General features: G+C 41.4%; 1 long non-coding RNA gene and 1 pseudogene across 1 annotated transcript in view; one reads left to right on the forward strand and one right to left on the reverse strand.

The window, feature by feature from the left end:
• The window catches only part of HCG17 (HLA complex group 17), a 92,096-nt gene that overhangs the window by 3,449 nt on the left and 75,473 nt on the right, over positions 1–13,174 (reverse strand). Inside the window, 1 exon segment of the long non-coding RNA NR_052012.1 lies at positions 4,660–4,824. This is a non-coding gene — a long non-coding RNA (HLA complex group 17).
• Positions 814–4,792, forward strand: TRIM26BP (tripartite motif containing 26B, pseudogene; annotated as a pseudogene).

Below are 13,174 nucleotides of genomic sequence, written 5' to 3' on the forward strand. Positions count from 1 at the left end.
CTAATATGTAGCTCTCATGTTTTCAGATGAGTTTTAAGATACAGGCCCAAATTTTGTTAGTTCTTATTCTCTACTTTTGAATTATTTACAGGAAATATATTTTACTGAGCTGATCTACTGAGAGGTGGGCACAAATCCTTTAGACTTTATTGAAAAATTAGTTGTCCAAAATCTTCTAGGATACTCCCACTTAATTACATATATGAGGCCGGGCGCGGTGGCTCACACCGGTAATCCCAGCACTTTGGGAGGCCAAGGCGGGCAGATCACGAGATCAGGAGATCGAAACCATCCTGGCTAACACGGTGAAACCCCGTCTCTACTCAAAACACAACAAATTAGCCGGACAAGGTGGCCGGCGCCTGTAGTCCCACCTACCTGGGAGGCTGAGGAAGGAGAATGGCGTGAACCCGGGAGGTGGAGCTTGCAGTGAGCCGAGATAGTGCCACTGCACTCCAGCCTGGGCGACAGAACGAGACTCCGTCTCGGGGAAAAAAAAATTACATATATGAGCACCCTTTGAAATGCTTACAGCAGAGCTAGCTGCCTAAAATTAACATTCATCTAACACTGCAAGCCAGAACGTGTTCTGAGTAGTGCTCTGGAAGGGACTTTGGATTTTGAGAAAAAAGGTTGGGAGCAGTTTGAACATAAAAACTATTTTCTCATGGGTTCCATTTTGATGTTCATTAAACTCACAACTTCTTTGTTTTCTTCATGTCTTCTTAGAAAGTGATTTCTCACTTTGAGAGTGAACTCTTTGCAGGACTTGAGCATAGTGATCACAACTGCTGCCTCCCCTCTGAGAAATCTGGAGGATGAGGTTCTCCATCTGTCTTGACTACTTGAGAGACCCAGTGACCATTGACTGTGGTCATGTCTTTTGCTACCACTGCATCATTCAGGTCTGTGAATCTACTAGGCAACCATTACATTGTTCTCTGTGCAAGCCAGCTTTTAAGAAAAAATATCTGCCATGTGTGGCAGATGGCCAACCTGATGGAGAACATTTGGAGAATGAAGGTAGATGAGGAGAGACAACCCAGAGAGGAAAGACCACCTGAGCAAAAAGCAGAGAAGCTGTGTAGGCGACACCTGGAGAAGCTCCATTAATGCTTCAAAGGATGACCAGCAGATGGTGTATGTGATGCGTTGGAGTCCCGAGAACACAAGCACCATGCTGCTGTTCTCCTAGAAAAGGCTGCACAGCCTCGTCGGGTAAGAATCGTGTTGGACCCCAGCTCTGTTCTTTTAGCCAGAAAGTTCTATGGTACCTTCAGGATAAGGTGCAGGTTTTTTGCATTACTTTATTGAGGTATGATTGACATGTAAAAGCTATACATATTTAATGTATACCAATTAATGAGTTTGTAGATGAGTATACACCTCTGAAACCATCATCACAGCAAAAACACGTCTATCACTTTCCAAACTTTCCACACACCCTCTTTATTGTTATTATTTTGTGTGTGTGATAAGAACACTTAGTCAAAGATCTATTCTTTTAGTAAATTTGAAGTATACAATACAGTGTTTTTAGCTATAGGCATTATGCTATATAGTAGGTCTCTAGAACTTCTTTATCTTGCATAACTGAAACTTTGTAACTTTGACCATCAACCCTCCATTCCCCGTCCCCACCAGTCCCTGGCAACCACCATTCTACTCTGTTTATGTAAGTTTGACTGTTTTAGATTCCACATATAAGTGAGGTCGCACAGTATGTGTCTGGCATATTCACTTAGCATAATGTTCTCAAGGTCCATCCATGTTGTTACCAATGGCAGAATTTCCTTCTCTTTAAGGCTGAATAATATTGCATTGTATGTATATACCACATTTTCTTTATTCATCCATCAGTGAACATTTAGGGTTTTTTAAATCTTGGTTATTGTGAATAGTGCTGCAAAGAACATGGGAAGTATATGGGCTATAAATACCCAGAAGTGAAATTGCTGGATCATATGGTAGTTCTGTTTTTAATTATTTGAGGAGCTTCTTACTGTTTTTATAATGGCTGTACCAGTTTGCATTTCCACCAACAGCGTATCAGGGTTCCCCTTTCTCCACATCCTCACCAACGCTTCTTATCTTTTAAAAAATATAATAGCATTTCTAAGAGGTGTAAGACAGTTCAAATTCTTTAGCATGAAAGATTCTTGGTAAAGTACTACCCTTTGCATTTGGATAATAAAGCTGGTTTGGTTTTATATCTTTTATGGAAGTAAGTCTATCACATTGCCTTGATGGTTTCATCTCTGAGGTTCAGATCAAGTCTTATCAGCTATACAGAATACCAGCACTCCTGATAGCTCTCGTAGTATATAGCTTCAAGTGGTATGTACACAGTTGTTATAAAAATATTTTTGAGGTCTGGTGCGGTGGCTCACGCCTGTAATCCCAGCACTTTTGGAGGCCGAGGCGGGCGGATCACAGGGTCAGGAGATCGAGACCATCCTGGCACACACAGTGAAATCCTGTCTCTACTAAAAATACAAAAAATTAGCCGGGCGTGGTGGCGGGCGCCTGTAGTCCCAGCTACTCGGGAGGCTGAGGCAGGAGAATGGCGTGAACCCGGGAGGCGGAGCTTGCAGTGAGCCGAGATCGCGCCACTGCACTCCAGCCTGGGCGACAGAGCGAGACTCCATTTCAAAAAAAAAAAAAATTTTTTTTCACAATATTTCAGCCTGTATAAAATCTATGTAATTTTTCTTTCAGAATTTAACAAGGAAAATATTATTTCCTCTGGGGTCCTAGTATGTTTCTTCTTGCCTGCTAAAGAAACATCAGGCCAGGCTTGGTGGCTCACATCTGTAATCCTAGCGCTTTGGGAGGCTAAGGCAGGTGAATCACTTGATGTCAGGGACTCAAGACCAGCCTGGCCAACATGGCAAAACCTCATCTCTACCAAAATTCAAAAATTAGCCAGGCATGGTGGCATGCACCTGTAATCCCAGCTACTTGGGAGGCTGAGGCAAGAGAATCGCTTGAACCCAGGAAGCGGAGCTTGCAGTGAGCCAAGATTGTGCCATTGCACTCCAGCCTGGGCAGCAGTGTGAGACTTTGTCTCAAAAAAAAAAAAAAAAAAAAAAGAAAAGAAAAAAGAAACATCAGGCAGTTCATTGTTTCCCTTTTCTCTTTGCCTGCCAATTTAGTCATCCTCTTAATAATCTGGAGTTGCTGCCAGGTGTGGTGGCTCATGCCTGTAATCCCAACACTTTGGGAAGCCAAGGCAGGAGGATAGCTTGAGAACAGGAGACCAGCCTGGGCTATAGCAAGACCCCATCTCTACAATAATAATAATAATAGTTATTATTATTATTATTTGGAGTTGGCATATATACTTTCCTTGACTTTTTGTGTTAATTTTTTGTTTCTATTTTTTTTTCTTTTTACAAGACAGGGTCTCACTATGTTGCCAAGGTATGCCCTCAAAGACTTGGGCTCAAGAGATACTTCACCCTTATTTTCCCAAATAGCTGGGACTACAGGCACATACCACTGCACCCACCTTCTATTTTTGTTTTATTAATTAATTTTAATTTTAATTGTCTGTATTTTTGGTAGAAAAGGATAGTGTAAATATAAATTAGAAACTATACCATAAGTCTTGTTAGTTATAATGATAATACGATATTATTTTGTCTTACTTCTAAGAAATTGCTCTAGGCCATTGTATCACTCAATGGATCTTCCTTATTAACTAGAATGGAAATTGTTCCACACAACCATTATTAAACTACACATGGTCAAATGCAGTTGGATTTCACTCTGGAATCACTTTGCATCTCCCTTTTTTCATTGAGGTCATTTTCATCTTGATCTTGAGACTATTCAAGTTTATTTTCTTTTTCTTTTTCTTTTTTTTTCTTTTCTTGAGACAGAGTTTTGCTCTTGTTGCCCAGGCTGGAGTGCAGTGGCGCGATCCCGACTCACTGCAACCTCCGCCTCCAAGGTTCAACTGATTCTCCTGCCTCAGCCTCCCAAGTAGTTGGAATTACAGGTGCTCACCACCATGCCCAGCTAATTTTTGTATTTTTTAGTAGAGACAGGGTTTCACCATGTTGGCCAGGCTGGTCTTTAACTCCTGACCTCAGGTAATCCACCTGCCTCGACCTCCCAAAGTACTGGGATTACAGGCATGAGCCACCACGCCCAGCCCGAGACTATCCTTGTTTATTTTCATAGGGCAAAATTCTAAACCATCGGAAGATTCTGAAGGGATACAAGGATAGCATTCAGAATTCTCAATCTATGGGAGAAGATGAGATTCAGGCCCTGGTGGTAAGAGAGGTCTCTAGTAAATGTTCTGTATGAATGTGTGTATGTGTGTAGGGCAGGGGTGTGTGTGTAGGTAGTAGCGGGGCATAGGTTAAGGAGAGGAAGGGGTATGTGTGTGGGGGAAGTATTGAGGAATGGGGAGGGGGAGAGTGATCAAAGAGATTTCTGTTCTGAACTCATCCTCAGAAGATCTCACACATGTTCTGGTGTTCCCTAGCCTCTCAAAAAGGTCACTTTTCTCTTTCTGCATTTACTGTAGACAACATTTCAGAACCACAGGCAAGACATTGTATCAGTGTTTGAATAGGGCCATCGGTTTTTGAGAGAAAGGGAACAGTACCTGTTGGAGCAGCTGGTAGGGCTAGAGCAAGAACTCACCAAAAGGAGGAACAGCCGTGTCATCAAGGGTTCTGAGGAGGTGGTCCAGCTTGGGACCCTGATCACTGAGTTGGAGAAGTCTCGGCAGCCAGCACTTGAACTTTTGAAGGTAAAGGACCAACCAAACTGTATCTGAGTCCTCTTGCTCTATGACTACGGTGTGGCCTATTTGCAAGAGATTTGGACCAAGAGTCAAGAGAGACAAGGTGTTATTCTCATTTACTGAATTCTTTAATAACTGAATTAGCCAACCAATAGGTTTTAAGCCCCAAAGTGCAGTGGGCAGGGGTCTATAATATGCACAGACCATATAATGGAATATTAAGATCTGTACATTTATAATTACAACAAATAATCTGATGTTAAATCTTCCAGTCAGATTGGATGCCACAAGAATTCTGGAAACAGCTAGTGTTTAGTCAGAGAAGCCTTCAAAGAAGAGGCTTTTGATGTTGGCCTTGAAGGAAACGTAAAGATTTATTTTATTTTATATTTATTTATTTATTTGAGATGGCATCTCCCTCTGTCACCCAGGCTGGAGTGCAGTGGCGCGATCTCAACTCACTGCAACCTTCACCTCCTGGGTTCAAGTGATTCTCCTGCCTCAGCCTCCTGAGTAGCTGGGACTACAGGCACCCATCACCACGCCCAGCTAAGTAAGATTTAGATTGTCAGAAAGGAGCTAAACATTCCACTTGGTAGGGGGTGGGGACACACTAGTTACAATTAGATAAATGAATGTAATAATAAACTTGGTATATGTGTTGGCAGGTGGGCATAGGTGCTGGGGAAGATAGGAGTAGGAAGACTGATAAGAAGGGGACATAGAATGAAGGTAGCTACCTTTCTGGAAGAGTCAGATTAAGTGAGGGAGAAGTGAAAATTATGATGGGGCCAACTGAGTTGAGGCCTTCCAAAGCAGGCTGAAATTTGAGCCTTAACTGAATAGACAATGGGATTCTTAACAGATTTTTATCTGTCTATAAATCAAGAAAGGTTTCTGAAGAGGATAGTCTAGAACTCGAATGAAAGACATGAAGGGGAAGCATTTGTCCTTATAAATTGAAACTGCAGGCCAGGCACAGTGGTTCACACCTGTAATCCCAGCACTTTGGGAGGCCAAGGCAGGCAGATCATGAGGTCAGGAGATCGAGACCATCCTGGCTAACACAGTGAAACCGCGTCTCTACTAAAAAATACAAAAATGAAGCCGGGTGTGGTGGTGGGTGCCTGTAGTCCCAGCTACTCCGGAGGCTGAGTCAGGAGAATGGCGTGAACCCGGGAGGCGGAGTTTGCAGTGAGCCGAGATTGTGCCACTGCACTCCAGCCTGGGCGACAGAGCCAGACTCCATCTCAAAAAAAAAAAGAAAGAAACTGCAGGCTGGGAGTAGTGGCTCATGCCTATAATCCCAGCACTGTGGGAGGCTGAGGCAGGCAGATAACGAGGTCAGGAGTTCGAGACCATCCTGGCCAACATAGTGAAATCCCATCTCTACTAAAAATACAAAAATTAGCCGGACATGGTGGCAGGTGCCTGTAATCTCAGCTACTCTGGAGGCTGAGGCAGGAGAATCGCTTGAACCCGGGAGACAGAGGTTGCAGTGAGCCAAGATCACACCACTGCACTCCAGCCTGGGTGACAGAGTGAGACTCCATCTCAAATGAAAAAAAAAATAAAAAAATAATAAAAAAATAAAAAAAAAAAACAAGAAAAGAAAAGAAAAAAAGAAACTGCAACAGAGGGAGGACAGGTCCGGGTCCATCAGAATAATTCTCTGTTCAGTCCTGGTGTATACCCATTTCTCAATGATCCCACAGTAGAGAATGATGACGGCTCCTGAGAACTATTTTTATGACAATGTCTGTGTTCTGTTTTTTTCCGGGACCCAAGTGACATAATATGCAGGTAAGTGCTGCTTGCTTTTTTTCTTTTAAATTTTAACCACTTATGTCTCCTTATTGTTTTCTCTGTCTATCATCTTACTGAAATTTGACAAGTGCTGGAAAGGGATTGTTTAGAAGGGAGAGAGGTTATTCTGGTTAGTGTATGTTGAAAGGTATTCTATGGAATAGAGGAGGGAGTTCTAGAAAAAAATATTGTCATGGAACTTACGATGGTAATGGGCTGAGAAAAATAAAATGAGAGGAGATTATAGAAAAGTATTGGAGAAAATTTAGAATCCATGTTCATTTCTAAAACTAGTTTCCTTTCATTCTTCCCCTTCCTACATGGTTCCCAGCCTCCACTCCTGGCCACAGTTTCTCCCATATTCTGTAGAGCACATTTCATTATCAGATTGTCCTCTGCCTGATAGTGAGGTTTCCTGCATTCTGGTTGTCCATAGAAAGCAAACACTTCTATGGCTCACAGGGATAATGATTTCTTCCTCATGTCTTTCATTTGAGTTCTAGACTGTCCTCCGCAGGACATTCCTCAGCAGTGGGTCTGAGGAATATGTTAAACATTTAACATTGACAGTTTTCAAAATCATACCCACATGATACAGAGAAGCTTTGAACAGAGAATAAAGTCAGGCATTTTGATAATACACAACTTATCTGCAGAGACACCCAGGACTACTGGCATATACTGAGCATTTCCTGTGGGCAAAACACTGGGTAGAAAGGCGTGTGATGAGATAGGTTACCAGATTATGGCTGGGGATACCAGATAGACACATATGAGAGATGAATAATGATATAAAAAATGAGGTTGACACAGAATGGGTAATACTTCTTGCCTTGAAGTGTTTTGTCCGCTTTAGCAAAATTATTCCAGCTTTATATTGATTAGTGTTCACATGGCATTTCTTTTTCTGTCCTTTAATTCTCAAACTTTCTGTGTTTTTTAAAAATGTCTCTTATAAGCAACATAAATTTTGTTCTGTTTTTAAATAAATCCATTCTGACAATATGCAATGGAATATTTAGTATTTATCCATGGAAAATTACTATTTCATTCACATTTTCAAAATAATTTGCATAGTTGATCAAGATAATGTGCTTAGATTTACTAATTTTTCTTTTTATATCTGAATGTTTTCATTTCTTATTTTGTGTATTTCTACCTTTTTCTTTTTCTTTTGAGCTGGAGTCTCGCACTGTTGCCCTGGCTAGAGTGCAATGGTACAATCTTGGCTCACTGCAACCTCCGCCTCCTGGGTTCAAGAGATTCTCCTGCCTCAGCCTCCCAAGTAGCTGGGATTACAGGTGCCCGCCGCCATGCCCAGCTAATTATTTTTTGTATTTTTAGTAGAAATGGGGTTTCACTATGTTGGCCAGGCTGGTCTCGAACTCCTGACCTTGTGATCTGCTCGCCTCAGCCTCCCAAAGTGCTGGGATTACAGGCATGAGCCACCACGCCCGCCCCCCTCTTTCTTTTCTTTTCTTTTCTTTTTTTTTTTTTAAGAGACAAGGGTCTCCTTATGTTGCCCAGGCCGGACTCCTGGGCTCCTGGGCTCAAGCGATCCTCTCACTTCAGACTCCCAAGTACCTGGGAATACAGGCACATACTGCCACACTCAGCTGTGTAGTTCTATTTTATCTCTTCTATTTGCCTGTCCCTTTTTTCCCTCCTACTTTTATGGATTGTTGAGCCCTGCTTTTACAAAGTACCATAATTTCTAGCATATGGTATTTTTATTACTGTTTTCTAGATATTTTGAAATTTTGAATTTGATTTTCTATTTAACATAAGATTTGTTTAAGAAAGAAGCTATTTGTCAGTGATATGCTGAGTTTTTTTCTAATAGGTCTTTTTGTTTCATAGTTTTCAAGTCTTGTGATAAGAAAAGTTTGCTATGTCTACTTTTTGGACTTTTTTTGAGGCTTTCTAGGTTATATGTTGTAAATTTTTGGACAGTTTCAGACACTTGAAAAGAAGGTGCACTTTTTCTTGGAATAGAATAGGATTTTGTATATCTCTGTAAGGTTGGCCTTAGTAATTCTGTTATCTAGGTATTTTGTACTAATACTTATTTTCTGACTTCTTGATATGTCACGGACTAAAAGAAGTCAGTCACAGATTCCTACTAACAGTGAGTTTTTGCCTATTTTTTCTTTTTTTTCTGAGATGGAGTCTTGCTCTGTTGTCCAGGCTGGAGTGCAGCGGCACGATCTTGGCTCACTGCAACATCCACCTCCCGGGTTCAAGTGATTCTCCTGCCTCAGCCTCCCGAGTAGCTGGGATTATAGGTGTGCACCACCACACCCAGCTAATTTCGGTATTTTTAGTAGAGACAGGGTTTCACCATGTTGGCCAGGCTGGTCTCGAACTCCTGACGTGATCTGCCCGCCTCAGCCTCCCAAAGTGCTGGGATTACAGGCGTGAGCCACCGTGCCCAGCCTATTTTTTCTTATATTGATATAGTTTTTGCTTTTTACATTTTGATGTTCTTTTTCTACATGACTTTTAAGGAAAGTTGTATCTTAATTGTGAATTATAATCTTGTTTTAAAAAACAGAGACAGAGTTTTAAAAAACCGAGACTCGCTCAGTCACCCAGACTAGATGCAATGGTGCAATCATAGTTCACTATAACCTTGAACTCTTGGGCTCAAGCTACCTCTCCGCCTCAGCCTCCCAAGTAGCTGGGACTACAGGTGCATGTCATCACACCTGGCTAATATTAAAATAATTGTTTTAGAGGGGTTCTCACTGTTACTCAGTCTGATCTTGAACTCCTGGCCTCAAGTGATTCTCCTGCCTTGGACTCCCAAAGTACTGGGATTATAGGCATAAGCCATAGCACTTCGCCTATAATCTTTAAGTAACAAAAAATGTTGTTGTCTTATTTAATATTTTTCTCTCCCAAATTCAATTCTGTCCGATAGTAAGATCAAGATATCAGAATTCTTTCATTTTGGATTTAGTTAATACACCTTTGCCTACCATTATCTTAATTTTAAATTTTAAAAAAATGTAAAGCTTTATCTTAATTTTCTTTTTTTAATTTAATTTTTAAAATATATTTTAAGGTATACAACATGATGCTGTGAGTAAAATGGTTATTACAGTGAAGCAAATTAACACCTCCATCACCTCACATAGTTACCTGCTTCCCTTCCCACTCCCAACCCCTCATTGCAAGAGCAGTTATAATTTACTCATTTAGCAAAAATCCTGAATACAATACACCATTTTTATTATTTTTTTAATTTATTTTTTTGAGACAAGGTCTCACTCTGTCACCCAGGCCGGAGTGTAGTGGCGCGATCTTGGCTCACTGCAACCTCCACCTCCCAGGCTCAAGAGATCCTCTCACCTGAGCCTTGCGAGTAGCTGGGACTACAGGCACGGGCACCACATTTGGCTAATTTTTGTAGAGACAGGGTTTCACCATGCTGCTCAGGCTGGTCTCGAACTCCTTGGCCTTAAGTGATCTGCCCACCTCGGCCTCCCAAAGTGCTGGGATAACAGGCGTGAGCCGTCATGCCTGGCCTACAATGCCCTGATATTAGCTATAGTTGGCAGGTTGGGCATTAGATCTCCAGACCTGTTCATCCTACATATTTCCTACTTTGTATCCCTTGAGGTACATCTCCCCATTTCTTCCACCCACCCTACCTCTGGTAATCACTATTTTATTCTCTATTTCTGTATATTTGACTTTTTAAAAAATTCTACATATATGTAAAATAATGCAATAGTTTTCATTTTGTATCTGGCAGGTTTTATCTTAATTTTCATTTAATCTGATATATATCCCCAAATAATTCCTTTAGAGGTTGTAACAGCGAGGAAGGAGCCAAGATGGCCGAATAGGAACAGCTCCGGTCTACAGCTCCCAGCGTGAGCAATGCAGAAGATGGGTGATTTCTGCATTTCCGTCTGAGCTTTGAAGAGAGCAGTGGTTCTCCCAGCACGCAGCTGGAGATCTGAGAACGGGCAGACTGCCTCCTCAAGTGGGTCCCTGACCCCTGACCCCCGAGCAGCCTAACTGGGAGGCACTACCCAGCAGGGGCAGACTGAAACCTCACACGGCCGGGTACTCCAACAGACCTGCAGCTGAGGGTCCTGTCTGTTAGAAGGAAAACTAACAAACAGAAAGGACATCCACACAAAAAACCCATCTGTACATCACCATCATCAAAGACCAAAAGTAGATAAAACCACAAAGATGGGGAAAAAACAGAGCAGAAAAACTGGAAAATCTAAAAAGCAGAGCGCCTCTCCTCCTCCAAAGGAATGCAGTTCCTCACCAGCAACGGAACAAACCTGGACAGAGAATGACTTTGACGAGCTGAGAGAAGAAGGCTTCAGACGATCAAATTATTCCGAGCTACGGGAGGACATTCAAACGAAAGGCAAAGAAGTTGAAAACTTCGAAAAAAATTTAGAAGAATGCATAACTAGAATAACCAATACAGAGAAGTGCTTGAAGGAGCTGATGGAGCTGAAAACCAAGGCTCGAGAACTACGTGAAGAATGCAGAAGCCTCAGGAGCCGATGCGATCAACTGGAAGAAAGGGTATCAGCGATGGAAGATGAAATGAATGAAATGAAGCGAGAAGGGAAGTTTAGAGAAAAAAGAATAAAAAGAAACGAGCAAAGCCTCCAAGAAATATGGGACTATGTGAAAAGACCAAATCTACGTCTGATTGGTGTACCTGAAAGTGACGGGGAGAATGGAAACAAGCTGGAAAACACTCTGCAGGATATTATCCAGGAGAACTTCCCCAGTCTAGCAAGGCAGGCCAACATTCAGATTGAGGAAATACAGAGAACGCCACAAAGATACTCCTCGAGAAGAGCAACTCCAAGACACATAATTGTCAGATTCACCAAAGTTGAAATGAAGGAAAAAATGTTAAGGGCAGCCAGAGAGAAAGGTCGGGTTACCCTCAAAGGGAAGCCGATCAGACTAACAGCGGATCTCTCGGCAGAAACTCTACAAGCCAGAAGAGGGTGGGGGCCAATATTCAACATTCTTAAAGAAAAGAATTTTCAACCCAGAATTTCATATCCAGCCAAACTAAGCTTCATAAGTGAAGGAGAAATAAAATCCTTTAGAGACAAGCAAACGCTGAGAGATTTTGTCACCACCAGGCCTGCCCTAAAAGAGCTCCTGAAGGAAGCACTAAATATGGAAAGGAACAACCAGTACCAGCCGCTGCAAAATCATGCCAAAATGTAAAGACCATCGAGACTAGGAAGAAACTGCATCAACTAACGAGCAAAATAACCAGCTAACATCATAATGACAGGATCAAATTCACACATAACAATATTAACTTTAAATGTAAATGGACTAAATGCTCCAATTAAAAGACACAGACTGGCAAATTGGATCAAGAGTCAAGACTCATCAGTATGCTGTATTCAGGAAACCCATCTCACGGGCAGAGACACACATAGGCTCAAAATAAAAGGATGGAGGAAGATCTACCAAGCCAATGGAAAACAAAAAAAAGCAGGGGTTGCAATCCTAGTCTCTGATAAAACAGACTTTAAACCAACAAAGATCAAAAGAGACAAAGAAGGCCATTACATAATGGTAAAGGGATCAATTCAACAAGAAGAGCTAACTATCCTAAATATATATGCACCCAATACAGGAGCACCCAGATTCATAAAGCAAGTCCTGAGTGACCTACAAAGAGACTTAGACTCCCACACATTAATAATGGGAGACTTTAACACCCCACTGTCAACATTAGACAGATCAACAAGACAGAAAGTCAACAAGGATACCCAGGAATTGAACTCAGCTCTGCACCAAGCGTACCTAATAGACATCTACAGAACTCTCCACCCCAAATCAACAGAATATACATTTTTTTCAGCACCACACCACACCTATTCCAAAATTGACCACATACTTGGAAGTAAAGCTCTCCTCAGCAAATGTAAAAGAACAGAAATTATAACAAACTATCTCTCAGACCACAGTGCAATCAAACTAGAACTCAGGATTAAGAATCTCACTCAGAACCACTCAACTACATGGAAACTGAACAACCTGCTCCTGAATGACTACTTGGTACATAACGAAATGAAGGCAGAAATAAAGATGTTCTTTGAAACCAACGAGAACAAAGACACAACATACCAGAATCTCTGGGACACATTCAAAGCAGTGTGTAGAGGGAAATTTATAGCACTAAATGCCCACAAGAGAAAGCAGGAAAGATCCAAAATTGACACCCTAACATCACAATTAAAGGAACTAGAAAAGCAAGAGCAAACACATTCAAAAGCTAGCAGAAGGCAAGAAATAACTAAAATCAGAGCAGAACTGAAGGAAATAGAGACACAAAAAAACCCTTCAAAAAATTAATGAATCCAGGAGCTGGTTTTTTGAAAGGATCAACAAAATTGATAGACCGCTAGCAAGACTAATAAAGAAAAAAAGAGAGAAGAATCAAATAGACGCAATAAAAAATGATAAAGGGGATATCACCACCGATCCCACAGAAATACAAACTAGTATCAGAGAATACTACAAACACCTCTACGCAAATAAACTAGAAAATCTAGAAGAAATGGATAAATTCCTGGACACATACACTCTCCC

Source organism: Homo sapiens, chromosome 6, assembly GCF_000001405.40.
Source record: "Homo sapiens chromosome 6, GRCh38.p14 Primary Assembly".
NCBI lineage: Eukaryota > Metazoa > Chordata > Mammalia > Primates > Hominidae > Homo > Homo sapiens.